Below are 22,843 nucleotides of genomic sequence, written 5' to 3'. Positions count from 1 at the left end.
TAGTAGCTAACAACTTGAACTCCTGTATAAAACCAAAGGAGCCTCTTTGGGAATGTCCTTCTATCTGAAACAGCAATATAATAGTTAAATCCATTTCACCATAAGCATTTAATTATCCATTCCTATCTACTCATTTAGGGAGGTGCTGTTCTCACTGATTATTTTACAATTAGAATGGAGTTCAGATTTGTGGAAGAAAATGGGGAGAAATTTGGGCCTTTAAAAAGTAACTAACATTTTGTGCAAACCACACAAACCTCTGAGCCCTATTAAAATTACCGATAAGCAATCTTAGAAAAACATTCTCCAGTAATGGCTAACTGGGTTCTTGCAGCAAAGCAAATTGTTTTTTCTTGGCAAGCATCCCACAAGCAATAGGCAGCAAGAAATTGTTTGTGCTACACATACAAGTTCTCATGTGTATCTGCAATTCTAATGCCAAATTTGGTCCTATCTCAAAAGCCACTTTAACTGAAAAGACAACTGCCGGAGACTTTACCAGGATATCTAGTCAGGAACTCCAAGATCATCAGAAAGAATTTCCATGTATTACTGTGGCCGGTATGGAAAATCACACTGTCCATTTTGGGAAAAGATTCCTACACATTTTCTTCTCCTTTCTCCTGGCAAGAATTTTTGTTTGGTCAAGGACATCTGGTTAGCATGTAGCACACAGAAAACATACTGCTTGTCTTTCAGTAAAATAAACTTAAAATAACTAAAATGACATCAATGTCCAGAAAAAAGGAAAAACAGAAGAAATGTGCATTGGTGCATTGTGATGGGTCATTGGAGGGCTTGCAGTGGCCAAGCCAGGTGGGCTAAGCTAGAATAGACAAGTGAAGATCAAGAATTTGAAGCAATGTTTTGAATGAGATAGAGATATATAGTGGAACCACTGAAATTTAAGTAGTCATTTCACAGGAAAGGGGGTTCTATGGAATAACTTCTCAGGAGAGAAGAGTGTCGACACAAATAAGGAAGGTTCTATAAGTGTTCCTGAATAGATGTGGGTAGGTGCCAGGTTTACACACACACACACTCAGACATACACACACAATTTGGCTGCAAGTATATAGTGTGTATTTTTAGAATCCATTTATGAGTTGATGTGACTTTGTTGTTCCTTGAGAAGTAAGAAATGGCTTTCAACTAAGTTAAGCAAGACATAAATAACTGATTTTCAGGATTTATTACCTTTATAGATAATACCTATATCTTAAAACTAACTGCCTTACGCATAGAAAAGAATAAGTCAACAGAGAGAAAGTAAAGGCTGGAGAAAGGATTAGAAAGCAAGGGGGGACTGCCTTCAGGACCTCTATCGCTGACCAATTACATGGGTTTCACAGGAGATCACCCAAATATGAAGTATATGCAGAATTGAGAGTTTGTGCCAAGCTGCCATTGTCTTCTGACATCCATTAAACTTATACTACAGTAGTCCCCCCTTATCCTCAGAGGATATGTTCCAAGACTCCCAGTGGATACCTGAACCTGCAGCTAGTATTGAACCCTATACACACTATGTTGTTTTCTATACATACATACCTATGATGAAGTTTAATTTATAAATTAGGAAAAGTAAAAGATTGTCAACAGTAACTAATAACAAAATAGAATGATTATAACAATATACTGTAATAAAAGTTTGTGAGTGTGATCTCTCTCTCTCTTGCTCACTCTCAAAGTATCTTATTGTACTATACTCACCCAATTTTGAATCCCAGTTGGCCACAAGTAACTGGAAACTGAGGAAAGGGGGGATACTGTATTCTGTCACTTACACATGACTCTGCTTTTTTCCTATCCAAAATCACAGAAGAAAGCACTCTTTTAAAAGATTTATTTATAAATTTAGTCTATTAAGTGGAGGTTTATGTGGTGATAAGGCAAACAAAAAAATGAGAACCAGATTGTTTTTCTGTGTGCAATAATTCCTGCCAAGGAAAGAAGCAAATCAAGGAAATTTTTTTTTTTTGATTTTAAAAACTGTAAAGTTTCCTCTTTATGAGTCTTCACATTATTTTAATGCTTTGGTGACATTTTCTGTAATACTTTTAGTTTTAGGGCATGTGGATAAAAAAAGTAAAATAGAAAACAGAAACCATATTTGAAGATAAAAGTGAGAATATTATTATTGCTCTAAGTAACAAGAAAACATCCAAATTAAAAAAGATGGGTAAAAATCTTGCTGATGGTTCCTCTATAGGTCATATTTTACTCTTTCTAGCTGTCTTGAAGTTGCCAAATTCTATGTTCAAATGTCCAGCTTCATGGAGATACAACTTTTTATCCATGGAAATAAATACTGAAATAAATTATATTGGTTTATAATTTATTTTGAGACTCAGATTCTGGATTTATACTTATTCCTGGATGTATTTTATTGTCAATTCATGCTACCCTTATATTAGAAACCTGGAATGGAAATTGCTCATATTTATTGTCCTGCAAGTACAAAATTTCTCAGTGTTCACTGCTATTCAATGTAGTATCTGCTAGAATGGGTCACTGTTTCAATCCAGCTGTATTAGCACTTTATAAATGCAATAGAATCAAATTCTGTATTGGAAAAAACTGAACTCTTTGGAATATGTCAGTAGTTAAAGAAGTAAGAGAAAAAAAAAACCCCAACATTCCATGAGCTATATGTAGCAATAAAGAATATTTAAATATGGAAAATTTCCAAGGAATGAAATCAGGGTTGGGAAGTAAGAAAAATACTGCTGAAATATCTTCAAAAGTAAATTAAACGTCTATGGGAGACTATAATGTCTAGCAAGCACAGTTTGCAAACGCTGATGTCCTGCATGCCATTACACCACCAGTTCAGCCTCTTTCCCCTAAAACATAGCTGATTGCTACGTTTCTTGCACTTTGTCTCCATGTGAACAATGGTTCCATTTTATAATGGAAAAGATACAAAAATAGGATAGGTGTCTTGAGATTCACACTGCAGTAACACTCTACTAAAGATATTGGATGGATTGCTGGATTCCTGAGTGAGATGTGATGCAAAAGTACTCCCAAGGTTTTGGATTTTCAGGGAATCACACTACCATGGTGCTGCTAACTTACTTTGTAACATAGACCACTTAAATATTCCAGAATCTGGGGTTAACGAGAAGTTAGACAATTAACGTATTATCATTGGAGTTGCCTCGGCAAGATCCCTCTCCAGCCAAACCTAAGAGGAAGAAAGAATAAGGACTGAGCTCTGAGCTCCATGTCTGGGCCTTTTAAATCAAAACTGCTGAGGCTCCAGACAGTGCAAACTTCTTCAAAGACACAATTGTGCCCCGTACACCAACGATTGGTATGTGTTCTCCCGACATCAGGTGGTTCCTATATAACCAGGACCTCCAAATAGGCAGGGGGAAACCCAATCTACTACTTCAGTCTAAAACACGAGCAGAAAGTCTCAGGCGTTATCATAGTAACTGTTCTTAAAATTGAAGAAAAAAAAAAAAAAAGACAGGCACAGTCACATGTGCCTGTAGTCCCAGCTACTTGGTATGCTTGAGGCAGGAGGTTGAGCCCAGGAGTTCAAGTTCAGCCTGGGCAACAGAGCAAGTCTCTGTCTTTAAACAAACAAACAAACAACAACAAAACTCTGATGCTTTAGGAAAACCTGGTCTTCTAGCCCTCTGCCTCGTATCCTGGCTTTCTGGCTTGGTCCTGCGTACTTACCTTAGACTTTGAGAAGTAGATTAAAGTATTGGTTGAGCCGTATGGGTTCTGGGTTCTGATCGCCTGGTTGAGGTCTGATCAAGTAGCTAAAGTTTACTCACCAGTTATAAGACTTCTGGCAAATTTCTTAAAGTCTCTATACTTTATTTTCTTCATCTGTGTAAGGGGGTACAAAACTGCATCTTTCTAATGGCGTTTTTATGGGGTTAATTTAGTTAATGTTCATGAAACTCTTAGCACAGTGTCAGAAATATGGCATGTGCTTAGTAAGTGTCATAATGAACCCCGACACTGTGAGCTATTGAGTGTTTGAATATCACAGTTCTGTCTTTGCCGTCCTCCTTTGTTCACTTGTGTCCTTCAATGGCCGGACTGATGAATTTGGGCCTCAGTGGCCTCCAACTATTATCCTCTGGAGACTCAAGCAGTCAAACTTGCCATAGATGGTGGAGTTCTGTTTCATTAAATTCTGCTCCAGAATACCCATCTTCTCTATTGTTTAATTGCTCCAACTAGGAAGTGGTGTGAGATTTTCTAAAAGGCCCCTAGAGCAAAAACAGATATGTTGGTATTTGTACTTTCAAAGCTTCCTCAATTATACTTTAAAAAACAATTCCCAAGCAATGAATTTTGAAACATAAAAGACTTTCTCAGGATTGTTGGATATCATTATATAATTCTATAGTTTCTAAGTAGCCTGATCTTTAGTTCCCAATTTATCCTATGTAGAATACCCAACTGTGGTGTCCAAGCTAAAATAAGAGTCTATAAATGAAGACACAGAGTCAGCTTTATGTTGAAAACATTTAAACTAACTTTGTTGTAAGAAAAAGCTTACATACTAAGAATTGAGAGTGTTTCTGCTAACTGGTTCTGGAGTTACATTTTAATTGTGTGGTTTGCTCACAATTCACAAAAACAGAAAAAAATTAAAAGGTCATATACAAAAAACTAATATTCTAATAGATACAATTTAAATTTTGAACTTAGGGTGAAAGACTTTGAAAGTTTCCCAGAAATGTGACATAGATAGTAAATGGTTGGTGCCATGGATTTGCAAAACAAGCTCCTAGTCTTCTGAGCCTGCTCTGAGGAAAGAGAAGATTGAATACAAACAGTGGTTGACTGTCACCTCAGGAACAGTCCCCAAGAGTTGCAGATCAAGCTTTAGTCCAAAGGAAGCATCTGAAATATGGATCAGTTGGATTCTTTTTGAAATACAGGATTTAAATCAATGCCCACAAGAAAAATGTCATCAGTAATATGCACTAGAGAGCTGGTAGCTTAGAGCTTCCAAACAGCAAAAGATACTAAAGAACTAGGTGCCCTTTGTAAACAAAAAGTTTGGCGTTGAGTATGAACACACATCTCAGTTTTGTAGTCCAACCAATAAAAGGAAAATGGCACTTCTCTCTTAAAAGCTTTAACAAAAAAACCATCATTTTCTGAGATCCCCAATAAACATCACAAACTGAGATCTTGGTTCTTCATTTACCCAATACACTAAAGTAGAGAAGACCAAGGAAATTGAAAATGATTGATAGGGAGAAGGATAAGCAGGGAAAAACTTAATCCTTTTTCCTGAACCTACCTATTAACTAACTATGCCCTGATAGAATTACAAATATCCATGTTTAAATTTTGACAGTTTCACTAACAAATTAAAGGGTTCCAATTGGAACTCATAGAAACAGCCAGCAGCAGAAAGTAGTTTATTGTTCTTAATGCAAAGATCAAATGTCCTGAAATCTCTTTTTCAACTTGGCATGTTTTGGAAGTATTTTGCCTGCTTTACCTCAGAAAGAATAGATAAAAAGAATTCACACAGCTTTACATGAAAAGAATGACAAGTATCCCAAAATAGTACATGTCATTTGGTGCAAGATAAAATATACCACAAAATGAAAGATCAACTTTTTACTCCCTTTCTATTCTTAAGCACCAACAACACAAAGTCTTGCCTTCTTTTTTCTGAGTTACCTGACCAACACATTTTGCCTTTGTCCTCCTATGATTACACACCTTTTTTATTTTTACTTATTTATTTTTTTGTAGAGATGAGGTCTCACTATGCTGAGCTGAGATAGCCTGTCCAGGCTGGTCTCAAACTCTATGGCTCAAGTAATCCTCCTGCCTCAGCTCCCCAAAGTTCTGTGATTACAAGTGTGAGCCACTATCTCCAGCCTCATTACACATCTTGATCACATTTTTTTTTCTCTCCTAGAAAACTCAATATTCCATGCCTGTTTTCTACAACCCCCAAAAAAAAAATTCCGTTCTTTCCTTGTGGCAAAGACATTCAGAAACCAACACTGTGTCACAGCTACTCCCCAGCAGTTAGAGGTTCATCTGTTGACAATTGGAAAGGGGCAAGAGAGACATCACTTAGTAGGCCTGTGTTTTTCCCGCAGTTACTGAGTTTTGTGTACCTTAAAAATGAAAATTGCATATTCTTGGCCATGGTCATGTTTTATATGTAGGAAGAAATCTGTAACAATTCAGAAGATACTAAATTTAGTGAAAGATGTGAATACATTGAAGTCTTTTGAGAACGATTGAAGCTCATTCATTTACAACAGAATGGAACATTTCTGGGGTAAGGAAGAGGCAATAGAATGCAAAACCGCACCTTTCTGAGTGTGAAATAGAAATGAATGGGAATCCCAATAGAGTTTATTCCTTAACCCCACTGTACTGGTAAATAATAGTTCATGTCCATGGTGCTCTTGATTCCCTTGAAATGGTCATTAAAATTTCTTTCTTCCCTCTGGTTCATCTCTCTCTCTTTTCCCTTCCCATCCCTTCCCTTCCCTTTCTTCCTGTCTTTAGTCATGTTTGGATTGATTTTCAGAAGGTTTAGACTGTTTCCTCACGTTGTCACCAGCTCATTACCACAGAATTACACTTCACAAACAAGAGCTGGCTGGAGAGCTAACTTGGCTTAGCTGTGCTATCTGAGGGAATTATTATTATTATTATTATTATTATTATTATTATTATTATTACTATTAGAGACGGAGTCTCGCTCTGTCATCCAGGCTGGAGTGCAGTGGCGCGATCTCAGCTCACTGCAACCTCTGCCTCCCGGGTTCAAGCGATTCCTCTGCTTCAGCTTCCCACGTAGCTGGGATTACAGGCACGTGCCACCACGCCCAGCTAATTTTTGTATTTTTAGTAGAGACGGGGTTTCACCACGTTGGCCAGGATGGTCTTGATTTCCTGACCTCGTGATCCACCTTCCTCAGCCTCCCAAAGTGCTGGGATTACAGGTATGAGCCACCGCGCCCGACCGGGAATTATTAAAAGGATAAATTTCTTTCTTTTTGAAAAGACAAGCACAGTCTGATCAGCGGGCAGGCAGCACCACTGCCTGTTCTCTTTTCAGTGCTGTCTTGTGGCCTTTGCTCCCACAGAGTCATTCACTGATGAAGTAAATAGCAGCAGTGGTGTTTTTCTGCTAGGAACCAAGATCCCCCGTGTGCTTTGCTGCAAGAACACATCCTTCACAGCTTTATTGTAATGATTTTACCATTTCTGCTGTTGTTACATGTACTAACAACTAGAAGTCTATATTTCACAATGATATTAAGCACTGAACTTTATATACACACACACACACGATAAAGAGTTATCAACACATGCTCTTTTACTGAGGAAAGCTAAATGCTTTCCTCAGTATTCCAGCTATGGAATTTTATATATATATATATATATATATATATATACACACACACACACATATATAAAATGTGTGTGTATATATATATATAATGACCATATATTCCATATATATGGAGTATACATATATATAAAATATATATGGAATATATATATATATATTCCATGATTTTTTATGTAGTGTTGTTTCCCTGATTAGATAACTTTGATTAGGCAAAAAAGTCTAAAACCAGCTAGATAAATAATAGTTTAGAGGTATACATACAACATGAAAATGCTGAAAGTAGTGAGCATTGCATATTTGGAAAATAATTCAATAAGAAATTCTTTCTGTGCATGTATTTAGCAGCACATAAAGGGAGAAAACAGAACACTTAAAAAGTTTATAAGAGTCTCATAGGTTTTTCTCTGTCTGGTAGTCTGTTTTTGACATTATTATCAGCGAACTTTTGACAAGAGACTGTGATGTCATCAGTGAATATTTAAAAACAAAAACAAAAAAACATCAGAGTCCAGCAAGTCTATTTGTCCCTCTCAGAGAATTTTGGCAGATCAGAAAATCTTTGATTTGTGAGATAGTTTTTTTCAATAAATTATCTTTGGTTACTTTCTTTGTTTTACATTTTATTGGTTTTATCAGACATGTGAAAAAATTTTCTATGTTTACCTACTAGAATCTCCCATGGGATTCTTCTTATAAAGAGTTAGTACAAATATGCAAAATTAGAGCAAATTATGGTGTTGTTATTGCCTATTCCAAAAGTATTATGGAAATACTGGGATAAATGTCAGAGAAGGCAGGCCCAAGAATGAGAACATAAGGAGAATGACTTAACTTAGCATTTTTACATCTATTAGAATCACGGTATACAGAGATATTTTTCACTTTCTACCCATATCTATGATCCTTAGTGATATGTGGCCATATCTAGAAACCCAGAGTTTAACATGCATTACTAATCATGCTTCTTCTAAATCAACTCCCTACCCTAATAACTAACAGAATATTTTCCCCTCCTCACTCATTCCCAGCCCTCATTAGCAATTCCTTCTCCTGGGCTTTATTTATCATGAATTGCACCAGTTTGACCAGACATCTGTTCTCTTAGGAGTGTTAAAGCTTCCATGTCTAATGTTCCTTCCAGAAAAGGCAAGGATCTTACATGCTCTTGACTTCCATGATGAAAGTGCATGGGTAATTTAAAATACACATTATCAAGAATGTGTGATAGCATAAATGAGCCAAATGTGCCTTGAAGCCCTTAACCAAGCCAGTAGGCTATAGAACTCAGTTCCTTCCCCTATATCGAGTTGGAAGAACAGCATCTGGCTTGGCTTATTGACCACTGAGGGGTGGACCATGCCATGAAACATAGAGGTCAAAATTCCCAAGGCTGGCATCAGGATGATGATAGGGATACTGCTGATGTTCAGATGATTTCTGTTTACCACAGTAATTGGCTGTTCCTAGGCTAGAGGAAGCCAGGATTAAAATACAGCCAGAGAGGCTTCTTTTTTTGCTGAGGTCTCTGAAACTCCCAACAAAGGGTGAAGTCCAGAAAATAATTACCTTGTATTTCTGCCTTGGCTCTTTCACACAGTTTTTATTCATATCTCATTTGCTATACCTTAATAAAGATACCAGTTACTTTTGAATTAGGCTTTTGTCAGATTGCCAATATCTTGAAATCTTAAAAACTCACTGCAAATGTGAGCACAGACTTTGAATAACCTGGGCAGCTGGCCAAGCACTGAAGATCTTTAAGACAAGAGTAGTCAGCCATCCCACTTAATGTTTTGATTTTGTGCTCGAATAAAAAAAAGACTGGACCAGATAACCTTCTAACTCGAAGATTCCATGACTCTATTTTTCAAATATCTTCATTTTCCAAGTATTCTACAGGAGAAATACTAAAACTGTGTGGTTTGTTGTGTTTGCCTCTCTCTCTCTCTCTCCCCTCCCCCTTTCTTTTTCTTTTCTACTCATCCCACACCCAAATATGGTGCAATAACAAATTCCTTCACTAAAGCAGCAGAGTTTTTAGTTATTACCATGCATGTTTTTAAATTCTCCCCTCACTGATGAAAACATGTGATATGAAATACTGAAGAAACCTCAGGGGCATTCCAAGCATTTATGGACAAAAAGTCATGACTTGTGGTATTTTCCTTCAAAATCCATGTGAACTGAATCAAACAGACATAAGAATGTATACTTAAAAACTTCTGAAACAGAATGGATGCATTCTGTCATTGACAATCCATTAATATTGTAACTCTGAAATAACATAAATCTGTCTATTCCATTCCATCTCCCTCAGCATTCTTCTAGTGCAAGGCCCCCTATTCTTATCTAGACCACTAAAGCAGCTTCTACACAGGCCTCTTCCCATTTTGCTCCAGGCTGCCTTTATGTGAGTACTGGGTTAAGCCTCCAAGAGTTCCTATCACGACTCTGCATAAAACCAACATTAGTTCCCCTCTCCCTACTAAGTAAATGCCTGACCTTGATATTTAAGTATTTCCAAAGTTTTGCCTTGCCTTGTTATTTTAGCTTTATTTTCTACGATGTTCTTACATATTCCCAGAATGCAGTATTTCTCAATCTTGTCACTATTGGCATTTGATGCAGATAATTATTTGTTGAGAGGTACTGTCCTGGGCTTTGAACAACGTTTAGCATCATTCCTGGCCTTTACCGAATAAAAGTTAGTAGCACTTCTAAGTTGCAGCAACCAAAATTGTCTTTGGACATTTTGCAGTGTCCCCTAGGTGGCAAAATCATAACTGATTGAGAAACACTGCTATAATAAAATCAAATTGCATTATTTGTTGTTCCTAAACCATGTAGTTCTTCTACTTAACAATACATATTTATGGATAATAATTTCTTCTAAAATATTACCATAATCCCCCTCCCCCACACACTCCTTAGTTTTACATGTTAACATTTCAGGGGACATCTAGAGCTTCCTCCATGAAACCTTTCTCAATTTCTGCATACCAATGTGGTCACTCCTTTAAACCCATCCTCTGTCTCCATCTTATTCATTAAACATCCTTCCTTTCCAGGCTTACAATATTTACATTGATCTATTTGTCAAATTGTCCTTGAAATGTTCAAATTAATTCATTCAACTTATAAGCATTGAGCCCCTATAATGTCCCTGGCATTGTTGTATTCGTTCAGAACTACTAGAGTTCTGAGCAGAGCAAGCACTTTCCTTCTGTCAAACTCACAGGTCAGGGAAGAGGTGGATGGTAGAGGGAGTGTGTGTGTACAGGGGGACAATAATAAATGAGTAGTTTCTTTTTTTTTTTTAAGAAATACACCATTTGAGGCTACAAACAGATGGTGCAATAAACTATACGTAGAAACTCTTTAGATACAGCAGTCAGGGAAAAGCCTTACTGGGGTATGATATTTAAACTGTGGATTAAAGTATAAGAAAGCTATCCTCATATTTTTGCCTTTAGAGATACCAGCCTGTGCAAAGGCCCTGAGGCAGAAGTAAGTTTGGCTTATTTGAAAACTTGAGAAAAATGCCTAGAGCTGGCTTATAGTGAGCAGAGGAGAAGGATGTAGAAAATTAATTGAGAGAGGCAAGTAGAAACCAAAGTGTGCAGAGCCTGTTAGTTCAAGGTAAGAATTCTGGATTTTCTTTGAAATGTTTTAAGAAGTGAAGGGTTTTATGCAGTGAGGTGACATCATCTGATTTACACTATTAATACATTACTCTGGGATTCTGTATGAAGAATATGGAAAAGGAGTGTTTCAGTTTAAAGAACCTCAAAATTAGAGGATATCTTAATTTTTTCTATAATGAAAACTCCAGAAGGATTAAATTCCCTATTCTAGAACACTGTGCATGTATCACAAAGGAGTTGGTGTATTGACCTCTTCAGCCCTTGGAAGAGTTTGCTTCTGGTTGTATCTCAATGTGCCATTGAAATATTTTCCATGCGTGCCATAGCAGCAAGAAGGATAGGAAGAGAAGCACTGCTAAAACACAGCATTAAAATAGTTGCCCACATGATTATTCAACAACTCCAAAAGACTGGGAACTCATTACCTCCAAAAAGAGCTTTTTCCAGATTTGGAAATATCTGCTTTTCATTGAGCTGAGTCACAAATGTGTGGGATATATTGATGAGCTCATGAGTAGATCCATTTGGCTCAGGAAAAGTTCTTTTAGATGAGGCTCATCTAACTCATCAAAACCCCTCCTCCATCTACCAAATTGCCTGCCTTTGGGGAAAAATATTATCCTCTGCCAAGGACTTGTCCCATTTACACCTGCTTCTCTGCCTAGGCCTCCCTTAACCCCATTTTCCAATTATTCCAACCAGTCTTCCTCCCTATAAGATGATTTTGGTATCTGTGATAAGCTTCTCTGATCCCATCACCATCTTCAGGTAGCTAGTCATCCCCTCCTCTTCTGTGTCTTCTCTATTAAACTGTAAACTCCCTGAGGACAGGGACTAGGCCTTATTCATCTTGCGAAGTTAAATGTCTACTACATTACAGATGTCTAGTAGAAACTGGTTAATCATTATGGGTGGAGTAACTCTGAGATTTGGGGTAAAATGTTCAAATATTTATTCTACTAATTATGGGAGTTACTCATTCAAACATTTGTTCCACAAATATTACCCAGTGCCTGTGTGCCCAAGTGATGGAAATATACATGGGCCCCACCTCATGGAGCTTATGACCCAGATGAAGAGGCAAACACTAAACAAATATTGAATGATAAATAATTATTAAATGATATGAATTTTACAAAGGAAAAATAGAAGGTGCCATGAGAATACATATTATGGAAACCAAATTTTGCCTGGGTGTTCAGGAAGCCTTTCTTGATGGAACGAGATTGGAACTAAGACCTAAAGGATGAGTAAATCTTGAGAAATGCACTTTAACTCCCTAAGCCTCAGATCCCTCACCAATAAAATGGGACAATAATGCCTTTTCTTTAGAGTTCTCCCAAGAATTAATTAGTTAGCATATGTAAAGTACCTGCTAAGAGAAGGAATTCAACAACTGGTAGGTTTTTTCTCCCATAATAAATGAGGAATGAAGGCAGCCTGAGCAAGCAAAATAGTGGATGAACCTGAATGCTTCCTGTCATGTGATGAATTGTATTCCCAAAACATGTATGTTGAAATCCTAACCCCTAGTACATCAGAATGTGACCTTATTTGGAAATAGGGTTATTGCAGACGTAATCAGCTATGTTAAGATAAGATCGTATTGGAATAGAATGGACATTCAATCCAATATGACTGATGTCCTGTTGAGAACAGGTAGATTTGAACACAGACACAGGAAGGAAGAACATTATGTTGCAATAGAGACAGCAATTGGAGTGCTATAGCTGCAAGCCAAGGAATGCCAAAGATTGTTGACAAGCCACAAGAAGCTATGAAGAGGTAAAGAAGGATTCTCCCCTATGGGTTTCAGAGGGAGCATGCCTCCATCCATACCTTGATTTTGGACTACTAGCCTCAAGTACTGTGAGACAATAAATTTCTCTTGTCTTAAGTCACTCTGTAATACTTTTTACAGCAGACCTAGGAAGCGAATACATCTCATAAAAGGATTTGGAGGCTGGGCACAGTGGCTCATGCCTGTAATCCCAGCACTTTGGGAGGCCAAGGCGGGCGGATCATGAGGTCAGAAGCTCGAGACCAGCCTGGCCAACATGGTGAAACCCATCTCTACTAAAAATACAAAAATTAGCTGGGTGTGGTAGCACATGCCTGTAGACCTAGCTACTTGGGAGTCTGAGGCAGGAGATTCGCTTGAACCCGGGAGGGAGGGGGAGGTTGCAGTGAGCCAAGACCATGCCATTGCACTCCAGCCTGGGTGACAAAGTGAGACTTTGTCTCAAAAAAAAAAAAAAAAAGGATTTGGAGTGCCTGTTACATGCAATGATGCAGACTTTAAAGACTGATGAGTTGGAAGGTAGAAGTTGAACAAGCAGACCTATATAAAAAGGTGTCTTAGGAAGATAAATCTAGAAATTTAGCCATGTTAATATATTTCCTGTTCCCAGTAGATCCATATGCTCCTTGAGGGCAGAACCCACGCCTTCCATGCCAAGCCAAACTCAAAATATACTGACTAAATGAGATCTTTCAAATAAACACTTTGGTGTGTAAGCTATTTATGAAAAATTTGGAGGTAAAACATTTTAACACATTGAAATTTTACTCTTCTAAAGTAAAAATCATCTTCTCATTTTATTTAATTGAAGAGGCAGCGCATGCAGTAAATTAGGTCCAATTTGCATGCAATTGTGCATGCAATGTAGATCTTGGCTTTAACTAGGGAGCAAGCTGTGTACAAACTCAAGCACCCTTACATTTGAAGTTAACATTAATTGTTTGCTTAAATTTTTCAGTACTTTCCTTCTTTTGCTTTCAAAGACACATATTATAGCATTTTGCTTTCTAATTTAAAGACCACAAAATCCATAGCTGATAATAAGAATCTATCCCTCAGGGGCTAATACATTTCTCTGACAGCATAGTAGTAATGCCCACAAGCTCTGTAGCAAGCCTGTAATTCCGTAAAAAAATCTTCATGGCTTTAATTCATATGATTTTGCTCTGTTTAATTATATTTATCATCCAATAATATTCTGTGCTTATAAAAATAGTGAATGGTATATAGAAGAAGCAATGTACTGTATCATATTTTATGAAATTTCATATGCCATGTGTATTGATTGTGTATAAACTAGAGAACATATTTGTTTAAATTAAGGTTTTAAATTCAGTTTCATACCAATTCCTTCATCTCATTATCTGTAATATATTTGTTTACATCCATGAAAATGTTACCTGGTTAAATTACAAAATTTTTCCTAATTCAGATTGATTTATATCTTCTATCCTCTTAATTTGTGTGATTTCATGTTGTGATCATTAAATAATTAAAAAAGGACCTTAGTTTGATCAAATTAATATTGTTGCCCATGAATGTTAATTAAATTTGCAAGGAAAAAGAAAGCAGAAACCAGATAAAAGAGAAAGCTGGACATGTTTAAAGATGCTATGCTGACCTTACAATAATTCTAGTACAAGCAATTCTCAAGGTCTTTCACATGCCCCCCAGACTTCCACTCCTGTGACACAGGACACCCATTGACACTTTTATTCTTAGGAGCATTCATCTTTAGAAATTGTCCTTTAGTTCCCCTTTCTGCAAATTTTCTTCTTCTTTAGAAGCTCCCAGATTTGTCCAACTATCCCCAATCAGTGGTTTTTAAATTTTAATGGCAGCTACAAAGATGCCCGGACCTCCATCAAACATTACTGAAATCAGATTCTTGAGGGATAAGGCCAAAAAATTTGCATTTTTGAAAAACACTCCAGATAACTTTGCTGCAGAAGATCTAAAACCTCAGAGGGAGAAATACTGTCCTGGACTTTTCAGCTCAGTGATGCCTTCCCAGCACACTCCACTTGCAACCACTGGATCCTCCTCCTTCCTAGTTTACAGACATTGTGTCTACATATACCCTCCGTTGTTCTTTTCTCCTCTTAAATGTCATGTAATCTGCTGGACTATCTTGGGCTACTGAGAGAGTGCTGGGAGGATTTTGCCAGTTCACATGGAAGCATCTTCATAAAAGTCTTCTGATGGCTGTGGCCAGCCCCCTTGGAAGAGGTCGTAACCTGGACCTGGGAATATCGTTCAGGTGATAATTAGGATTTCACCATGTTCCTTAAATAATATGTTGTGCATGTCTTCCATTTGCACAATGATATAGGACAACAGTGAATATCTCTGGAGGGGACTTCCTATTGGATAGATCTTAGCTTGAATTCCCAGTCTACTATGTGCTACCTATGTGGCCTAGGTCAAGTAACGTGACCTCTCTGCGCCTTGCATTTATCAAAAGGAAATAATAATTTATACTTTCCAGAATTCTCTGGATTAATAGTGTAGGAAAAGTGTCCATAACATGAGTACATGGTATTTAATAAATGGCATTAAAAACATATGCCAAAAGTGTATCATTTCTACGAAAAAAAAGACTGGTCTGAGATCCTTAGTGGTGCCAGGTGCCCATGCAATCCTTGCACTACTAACAAAGGCCATAATTGTGGAGTTTGTCCCAAATTCTTAGCTGCAACCCCATGGGTAAATGTAAAGGCTGAGATAAGGATAAAGGCAAGGCCATTTAAATTAATTGAAGGTCCTGAATTTTTTCCCTTTGGGGAACAGCTTAGGGAGGGGAAAGAAAAGAATCTCTCCATTAAGACGGTCTTTAAATTGGCAAGCAAACACTTTTTGGTTAATATCAAACAAAGGATCAATGTAAGAAAAAAATTATGTATTTCTCCTGTCCAAACTACCATATTTCAGAGCATACTCATTGGCAGTTTTCCATCATTTCAGTTTCTGGGACAGGGACAGAAGCTTTGGACAGCCGGTTTGTTTGTGTTTTATTCTTTTCATTTGTTTGTTTAATTTTCCATTATGAATTGGACATGAAATGTGCAACCAAATTCCTGCATTAAATATCCCTGGCATAAAAGACATGCATTAAATACCCCTGAGATAAAGGACATCCCCAATATACTCCATCATTAATGAGCTTAGTACTGAGTTTCAATCGCAAGAGAGGAGTGGCAAGTTTTGATATGTCCTACAGCAAATGATCGAAGGTTTTTACCCTCCTTGTAGTATGAAGAAAGTATCAGTCAAGTTATCTCCTAGCCTGGACTGAACAGGTGAGTAGTTTCTATGCCTTAGATATTACTACCATGAAGTGAAGGATACAATTACATAACTGTAGGCTGGGGGCGGTGGCTCACGCCTGTAATCCCAGCACTTTGGGAGGCTGAGGCGGGCAGATCACAAGGTCAGGAGATCGAGACCATCCTGGCTAACACGGTGAAACCCCGTCTCTACTAAAAAATACAAAAAATTAGCCAGGTGTGGTGGCGGGTGCCTGTAGTCCCAGCTATTTGGGAGGCTGAGGCAGGAGAATGGCATGAACGCTGGAGGCAGAGCTTGCAGTGAGCCAAGATCTCGCCACTGCACTCCAGCCTGGGCAACAGAGCAAGACTCCATCTCCAAAAAAAAAAAAATTATGTAGCCATAGAATAGGTTTACAGCCTAAAATCCTACGCAAACCTACCATAAGCTTTTGTGAATTAATGAGACCTTTGAAGCATTAGACATTTTATTCCCTCTTTCTTAGCATCATAGTTGGTCCTCAATATCTTGACACTTTCAGGCATGCAATACTTATTTTGAAATACATATTTTCAAAGCATTTCGATGCCTACTTTTCCCAAAAGAGCATTTAGATTCTTCAGTAAATGAACCTAGACATACAATTTGTGTCTTATCTTCCACTGGCCAAAGCAACTTATATAGATTTGTTTTCTCACAACTCTGCAAAATACAGTAAATACAAGAATAGTGACTTTTTAATTTTGTGGACTAACTGAGGAAAACAACGATGAGGACAGTCTGGAGCAGGAGTAGGCAAACTATAACCCATGGGCCAAATCTGGTTCAATGCCTGTTTTCATACATAAAGTATTATTGATTGAAACATAGCCAGGTTCATTTGTTTATGTATTGTCTAAGGTTGCTTTCACACTAAGATGGCAGAGTTTTAAATATACAGATACTTATTATCCACAAAATCATCAATACTTACTATGGCCCTTTACAGAAAACATTTGCCAAATCCTGGTCTGGAGCACAGCCCTAACAATTTGAAGACCAATGTCTGTGGCCTTCCATAAATTTTCACTTGTTGACAATCCCTGGACAGCAGATGGAATTTACGCTTAAACAATCTGGTTATTTTTATATTCTTAAATATGAGAAGTTATCTTAATTTTTGTTGAATACCTACTAGAAGTATATTTAATTCTCTATTAGATGATATTATTTCCAAATAAGTTTCTGAAAACTACCATCCTACACATTATTCTTCTTCAGAACTCTTTGAGTACATTTTCAAATATAGACAAAATGAAAAGCAGACTTTTAAAATAGTACTTTGATGGGAAATGCATTATTGTAGTAGTGTATATAAGAAAAAGAAAAGGACAAGAAGGTGATGCACAGAAATTGCCTTTAGATATTTGAGGTTATATGTATAAAGATATATATGCATATACATACACACATATAATCTTATAGATAATTTGTATACTCCTTTTGATTCTGGTTTGATCCTCCAGATCTATAATTCAACACAAATAATAGTGAATTGCATGTTTATTGACTTTTTTAGGTAAATACTTTTACAGCCTAATGTCATACAGTAGCGGCTGATAACATCAGTTTAGACATGGAACTGCTTTACTTAGAATTTGTTTTTCTCTCAAAGGGTCAAAGTATCCTTAATAAAAGAGAAAGATTTCCCTTATGTTTTCAGCTAGCCACAGCAACTAGGCACAACACTGAAAAAAAAAAAAGACAAGTAAAACTGTCTTTCAAACTTCTGTTTGCCCTTGCAAAGTGTCCTGGCTTAGGTGGATATTGAATATTGAATAACTTTGTCTATTCTTAATCCAAAGGCAGTGCAAAGCAAAAGACTAATAAAGAAGGATTAAGACTAAGGCCACTACATAGAGTCATCAAGTCGTAGAAAAGACTATCATAACATTTCTGACTCCACATCTAAGTTATCCTAAAATAGAAGCTGTTCTTTGAGCAATAGAGCATCCTTGCACTGACCTGGAGCACTGCTGCAGAGTCCAATTGGGTTAGAATTAAATTACATAATCATTTAGTCATAGTACACATTCTTATTGAGTGACGCAGGCATCAGACATGGTACTAAGTACTGAGTGTCCAAAGTCATGCAACGCAAGGTCCCTGTCTTCATGAGGCTTTTATTTAGTGGCAAAGGGAGACAACTCAATCTGGGAGAATGTGGAGAGTGCTATACTCTACTGGAGTTCAAACCTGTGACTCCCACCCTCACGTAATATGAGCATGTTTTATTTAACTCATTAATTAATAAGATGTTATGACCAGATCAAAAGTTGTTTTATAAGCTGGACAGAGACCATCTTAGAATGAGATTGATGGGTAGATTTAAAAAGTGGCTCATGTCCAACAGGACCATAAACCTTTGGAGTTATCTGCTCCACCTGGCAGAAATTATTTGCAGCTCCACCATGCAAAAAGCTACAAGTCAACAGCGAATGCTACAAAGTCTGGAATTTGTAATTAATAGTAAACAGTGAGGTAACCTAAGTATATTAGTTAATCTGTAGCTGGCCTTCTTTCAAAAAGACAATGAATGGAGGCTGTCCACATTTTTTACTTATTTCTTAAGCTTCAGATATAGTTTCTGAAGCACAGAGGAGGCCACCTTGAGGTCAGGATGGGGCAAGGCAAGCATGGCAGCATTTGAGTTAAGATTTGGAAGCTAAGTAGGAAAAACTGGCCATGGATGTGAAGATGGGCATTCCAGGAAAATAAAGAAAAATATGTGGCAACTTCACATTCATTCCTGTGCTACGCTGTGTAATTCCCCTGAAGGCTGGTAATTCAAAAAAAAAAAAAAAAAAAACCTCTAGAAAAAGATAGAAAACACAGAAGTTCCCATTTTTAGAATGGAGAATCAATCTGCCAAGTTTAGATAGGCATGGATTAAGAAATAAACTCACAAGGAAGCATTATATTATCCAGAAGCTGTGAAGGACCAGAATGCCTCCACAAAGCCTAGGGGATGTTCCACATTGGACCATGAGCCTAGCGAATGACTGAAAAAGGGCAAAAAGGGGGAAAAACTGTAAATGGTCTATTTCCTAGCCACATGTGCTGCTTGTCTGAATCAGGTTACGGTCTCTCACTTACTCTATTTAGAATTCTGTACATCTGGGTGTATTTTTTTCTAGTGTTTCCTATCATATCAGTGACAGAATTGTCAACACTGAGGTATCCATAAATTATACTGCAGTCTAGTAGTTTCCAGTGTCTGCGAAGCTTAGAACAAAAGACTCAAATGCAAATGTGAGCTGCTTAATTCAGTGAGTATTTGTGATGTTACCCAGGTGCCAATGACATCTTTCTGACCAGCTCAGAGGCACCAGGGAGCAACCCAACATACATTTTTAATGTGCTCAGCTGTGACAGCATATACACACAGAAGACCTTAAGGCCTTAAAGCCATCCTCCTGGAAACCACTGCACTTTTAGGGACCCAGAAGAAATGGTTTAATTAATCTTCTTTTTCAGGGTAGCTTTTTTTGATATAAATTATGTACACTGAAAACCTGCCAATTATAGCAAATTAAGGGACTTGGCAAGTGCATCCCTTAGAGGCAGATGGTAAATAATATCCAGATTCTGATTTGAAATAGGACCAGAGATTAGCTGGTGCAGAATGTAAAAGCAATCTAGATATGAGAAATAAACAGATTTAGTGTGAGCTCAAGAGGAGGGTTTTGGTTTGGGAGAGCTATAGTGATGCATTGAAAATGGATGACTCATTATCACTACGTGCATTTCCCTGAGATGAGCCAGCTCCAAGTGCTTCTTTCTGTGATTCTTTGATGAACAATTATTTATTGCATTAGTATCTTCACTATGTTACTCAGATGCTTCCGTTTCCTAATCTGTGCAATGAGCATAGAGCAGGTTGGGGTGAGTTTTTAATGTCATCACCACATCATGTGCTCCGTGTAGTACTTGACGTACAGTAAGCGTTAAAAAATGTTAGCTGTTTTTGTTAGTTATGACTACCAAAATAAAGAACAACTCTCACATACCTTCACCCTTATGTTTTGGCCAAAAATCCTAGCTAATGCTTATGAAAGCTGATTATGTGCTTCTACCTGATTCCATCAATTTCTTTACTTATTAATAGCATTCAAAATAAAGAGTCTGACCTTAACTTTGTTTATTTTTCCTTCTTAAATCAACCGTTAGCATTCCTCTTATCTATTAGGGCTTCCCATAATACTCTCCCCCACCCTCTGCCTTTTAATGTATAGTCTAGATCATTTGTGCTTAATTAGATAAAACCTCATCTCTTGTCTCTATACAACATTTTAGTATCTATTACTTCACTGATAATGTAAAAATTTTTGCCACATACAACACAGCTTTACAACATAAAGCTTCATGCATGATTTCATACCATGCTTCATACTCTTACTAGCTCTTCCACTATTCTCATTTATGCATGAGGAATGGGAGGCTCAGAGAGTTTAAGTACTATGCCTTTGTCACACAGATGGTGGGTCCCGGGAGCTGACTTGCCTTGATATTCTGTTGTCACTCAAAGACTGAAAACCACATAAAACCAAAGGAAATCGTGAAAGATAAAGTGTTCAGGTTGGTGTATCCTTGAAAGTGCCAGAAGAGAACTCCACTATGTATATCAAAGTTAAGGTGATTATCTAGGGAGAAGTTTAGACACATGCAAGACCAAATAATATTACTTCTCTGCTCACGTTTTTACTTCTCCAACCTCAGTTTGTATCTGGTTTGAGTCACTACAGCAAGGAGGATGGTGACCTCACCTTATTCGCTTAGTAACTAGATTTCTTGTTTTGCTAATTCACCACAGAAATAATTTAGAACAATTACTGGGTTCAGTTACAGATTCCACACTTTGGGGGAAAAAAAAAAGTAGGGTAAAGGCAGGGAGACATCCACCAGATGACAAGGTAAGAATGGAGGTTAGAATGAAGGTAAATGGGCAGAGCCAACAGAGCAAAACTCTCAGGCTCTGCTTGCACAAAGCTGTCGCAATCCTGCAACTCCCAGAAAACAGTCGTCACATTAGCCAGTACGTGTACGGCAATCTTCCCGGAGTCCGAAGTCTCAGATAGGACAAACTCAAGCGCACATTCGTCATGTAATTCATGTTCAGCCTAGGTTGCTAAAATTAGGGAATGACTCAATCATCATACACCATTACAGCTATTTTCAAGGCTGTAAGTGATGCGTTGCACCGACACTGATGCAAAAGCTTACCCCAATTAGCTTCTGCAAATGCTCTTCCTGCAACAGAGCTTCGTTTCCTAGGAGCCTTCAATCTAATTACAAAGCTTGATTCTCCCGCAGGGCCTGCCTGGCCAGATGATTTCATTTTACTTTTAGGCTAACCTTTGCCATCAGTGATGTCACTGAAGTGTTCCTTCTCTTGAGAGGCTCCTAGGAGCACACTAAAAGGTTAATTTGTTTGATATTTGGTTAAAGAGACTTCTCTACTGGAGGGGCTCTGTTTTGCTGTAGGCAGGTAATGGTACAAAGCAGGCATCTTCAGATGAAGGCAATTTGCACCCAGCCAGCACCAACATAGCTTTATGCACTAACTATCCAGCAGCCACTCAGATAGAAAATCACTGCTGAGAAGGAAGTCAATGGATCCTTTCTGCAATTCACATTATTCACTCAAGGAGATTTTGCATATTTCCTAGTGCTTTTTTTCTCTCAAAAACAAGAGCTGCAAGGCTCAGTGGAAAATGTAACCAGCTACGCAACAGGAAAAACTTGTGTTCAACCACCTTAGGCATCAGAAAAACAAAGGAAAAAGCACAAGTAACGTACATGCCACAATTCCATAATTATTATTCTCCAAACTCAAAGTATCTTTGCTACCTATAGACATCCTCTCCACCCTTCTCTGCCCTTTCCCTAGTGGCCCTTGCTGTGCAGAACTAAAGATGCTATAGAAAAGCTCAGATCCCAACTATGGCCACCTGTAATGGTTATGCTTATTATAGAGAGCCAGTGCTGACAATGAGGGTGTATAAACCAAACCAAGGCCACAAGGTAAGAAGCAGAAATCAAGGCAACCTAATATTTTTTATGAGTCACGTAATAACAAAGAATCGGTTCCACCAATTTTCCCCATTTACTAATGCCATTCAAAATAAACATTCTGACTTTAACTTTGTTTATTTTTCCTTCTTAAATCAACCCTTAGCATTCCTCTTATCTATTAGGGCTTCCCATAATATTCTCCCCCACCCTCTGCCTTTCAATGTGCAGTCTGGATTGTTACTTTTGCTTAATTAAATAAAACCTCATCTCTTGTCTCTATACAGCATTTTAATTTCCATTACTTCACTGATAATGGAAAAACCTTTACAACATAAGAATATGAAGCATGATATGAAATCAGCATATGAAAGTAGCAAATGAAAAGGGGTAGCTATTAAAATGAAATAGGAGGGTCCATGATCAAATTCAGCAAAACAAAAAAACATAGACAGAATGAACGCACACACAATACTCCCTGAATATAAAAATGTAGTTTACATTAAACAGTGTCATATGAGATAAAAAAGAAAAATTACTTTATTCAGCAGGTAATAAATTATAGGACTTGTCTAAGGGCTCTTAAGTGAAATTTTTAAAATAAATACATCCTTAGATAAGTTTGTAAATAATAAAGTAAAACCTGATTGTTGAAAGTTTGGGTAAAGATAGCAAATGGAAGAATGAAGCCACATCAGATCACAT

The 22,843-nt window shown here is 37.5% G+C and overlaps 2 long non-coding RNA genes across 4 annotated transcripts in view; one reads left to right on the top strand and one right to left on the bottom strand.

Annotated features, from left to right (window-relative positions):
• LINC02941 (long intergenic non-protein coding RNA 2941) overlaps window positions 1-22,843 on the bottom strand; it is a 117,403-nt gene that overhangs the window by 22,047 nt on the left and 72,513 nt on the right. The window contains exon 2 of one of the 2 annotated variants that reach the window (NR_121622.1): window positions 3,795-4,238. The exons of the other annotated variant lie outside the window; for it this stretch is intronic. This is a non-coding gene — a long non-coding RNA (long intergenic non-protein coding RNA 2941). The remainder of the gene's footprint in view (window positions 1-3,794; window positions 4,239-22,843) is intronic. 2 annotated transcript variants of the gene reach the window in all.
• The window catches only part of LOC107986652 (uncharacterized), a 56,727-nt gene that overhangs the window by 21,321 nt on the left and 12,563 nt on the right, over window positions 1-22,843 (top strand). The gene's annotated exons all lie outside the window — the stretch shown is intronic.

This window comes from Homo sapiens, chromosome 6 (genome assembly GCF_000001405.40).
Source record: "Homo sapiens chromosome 6, GRCh38.p14 Primary Assembly".
NCBI lineage: Eukaryota > Metazoa > Chordata > Mammalia > Primates > Hominidae > Homo > Homo sapiens.
The sequence above is the reverse complement of the archived record's forward strand: the minus strand, read 5'-3'. Positions and strand labels throughout refer to the sequence as shown.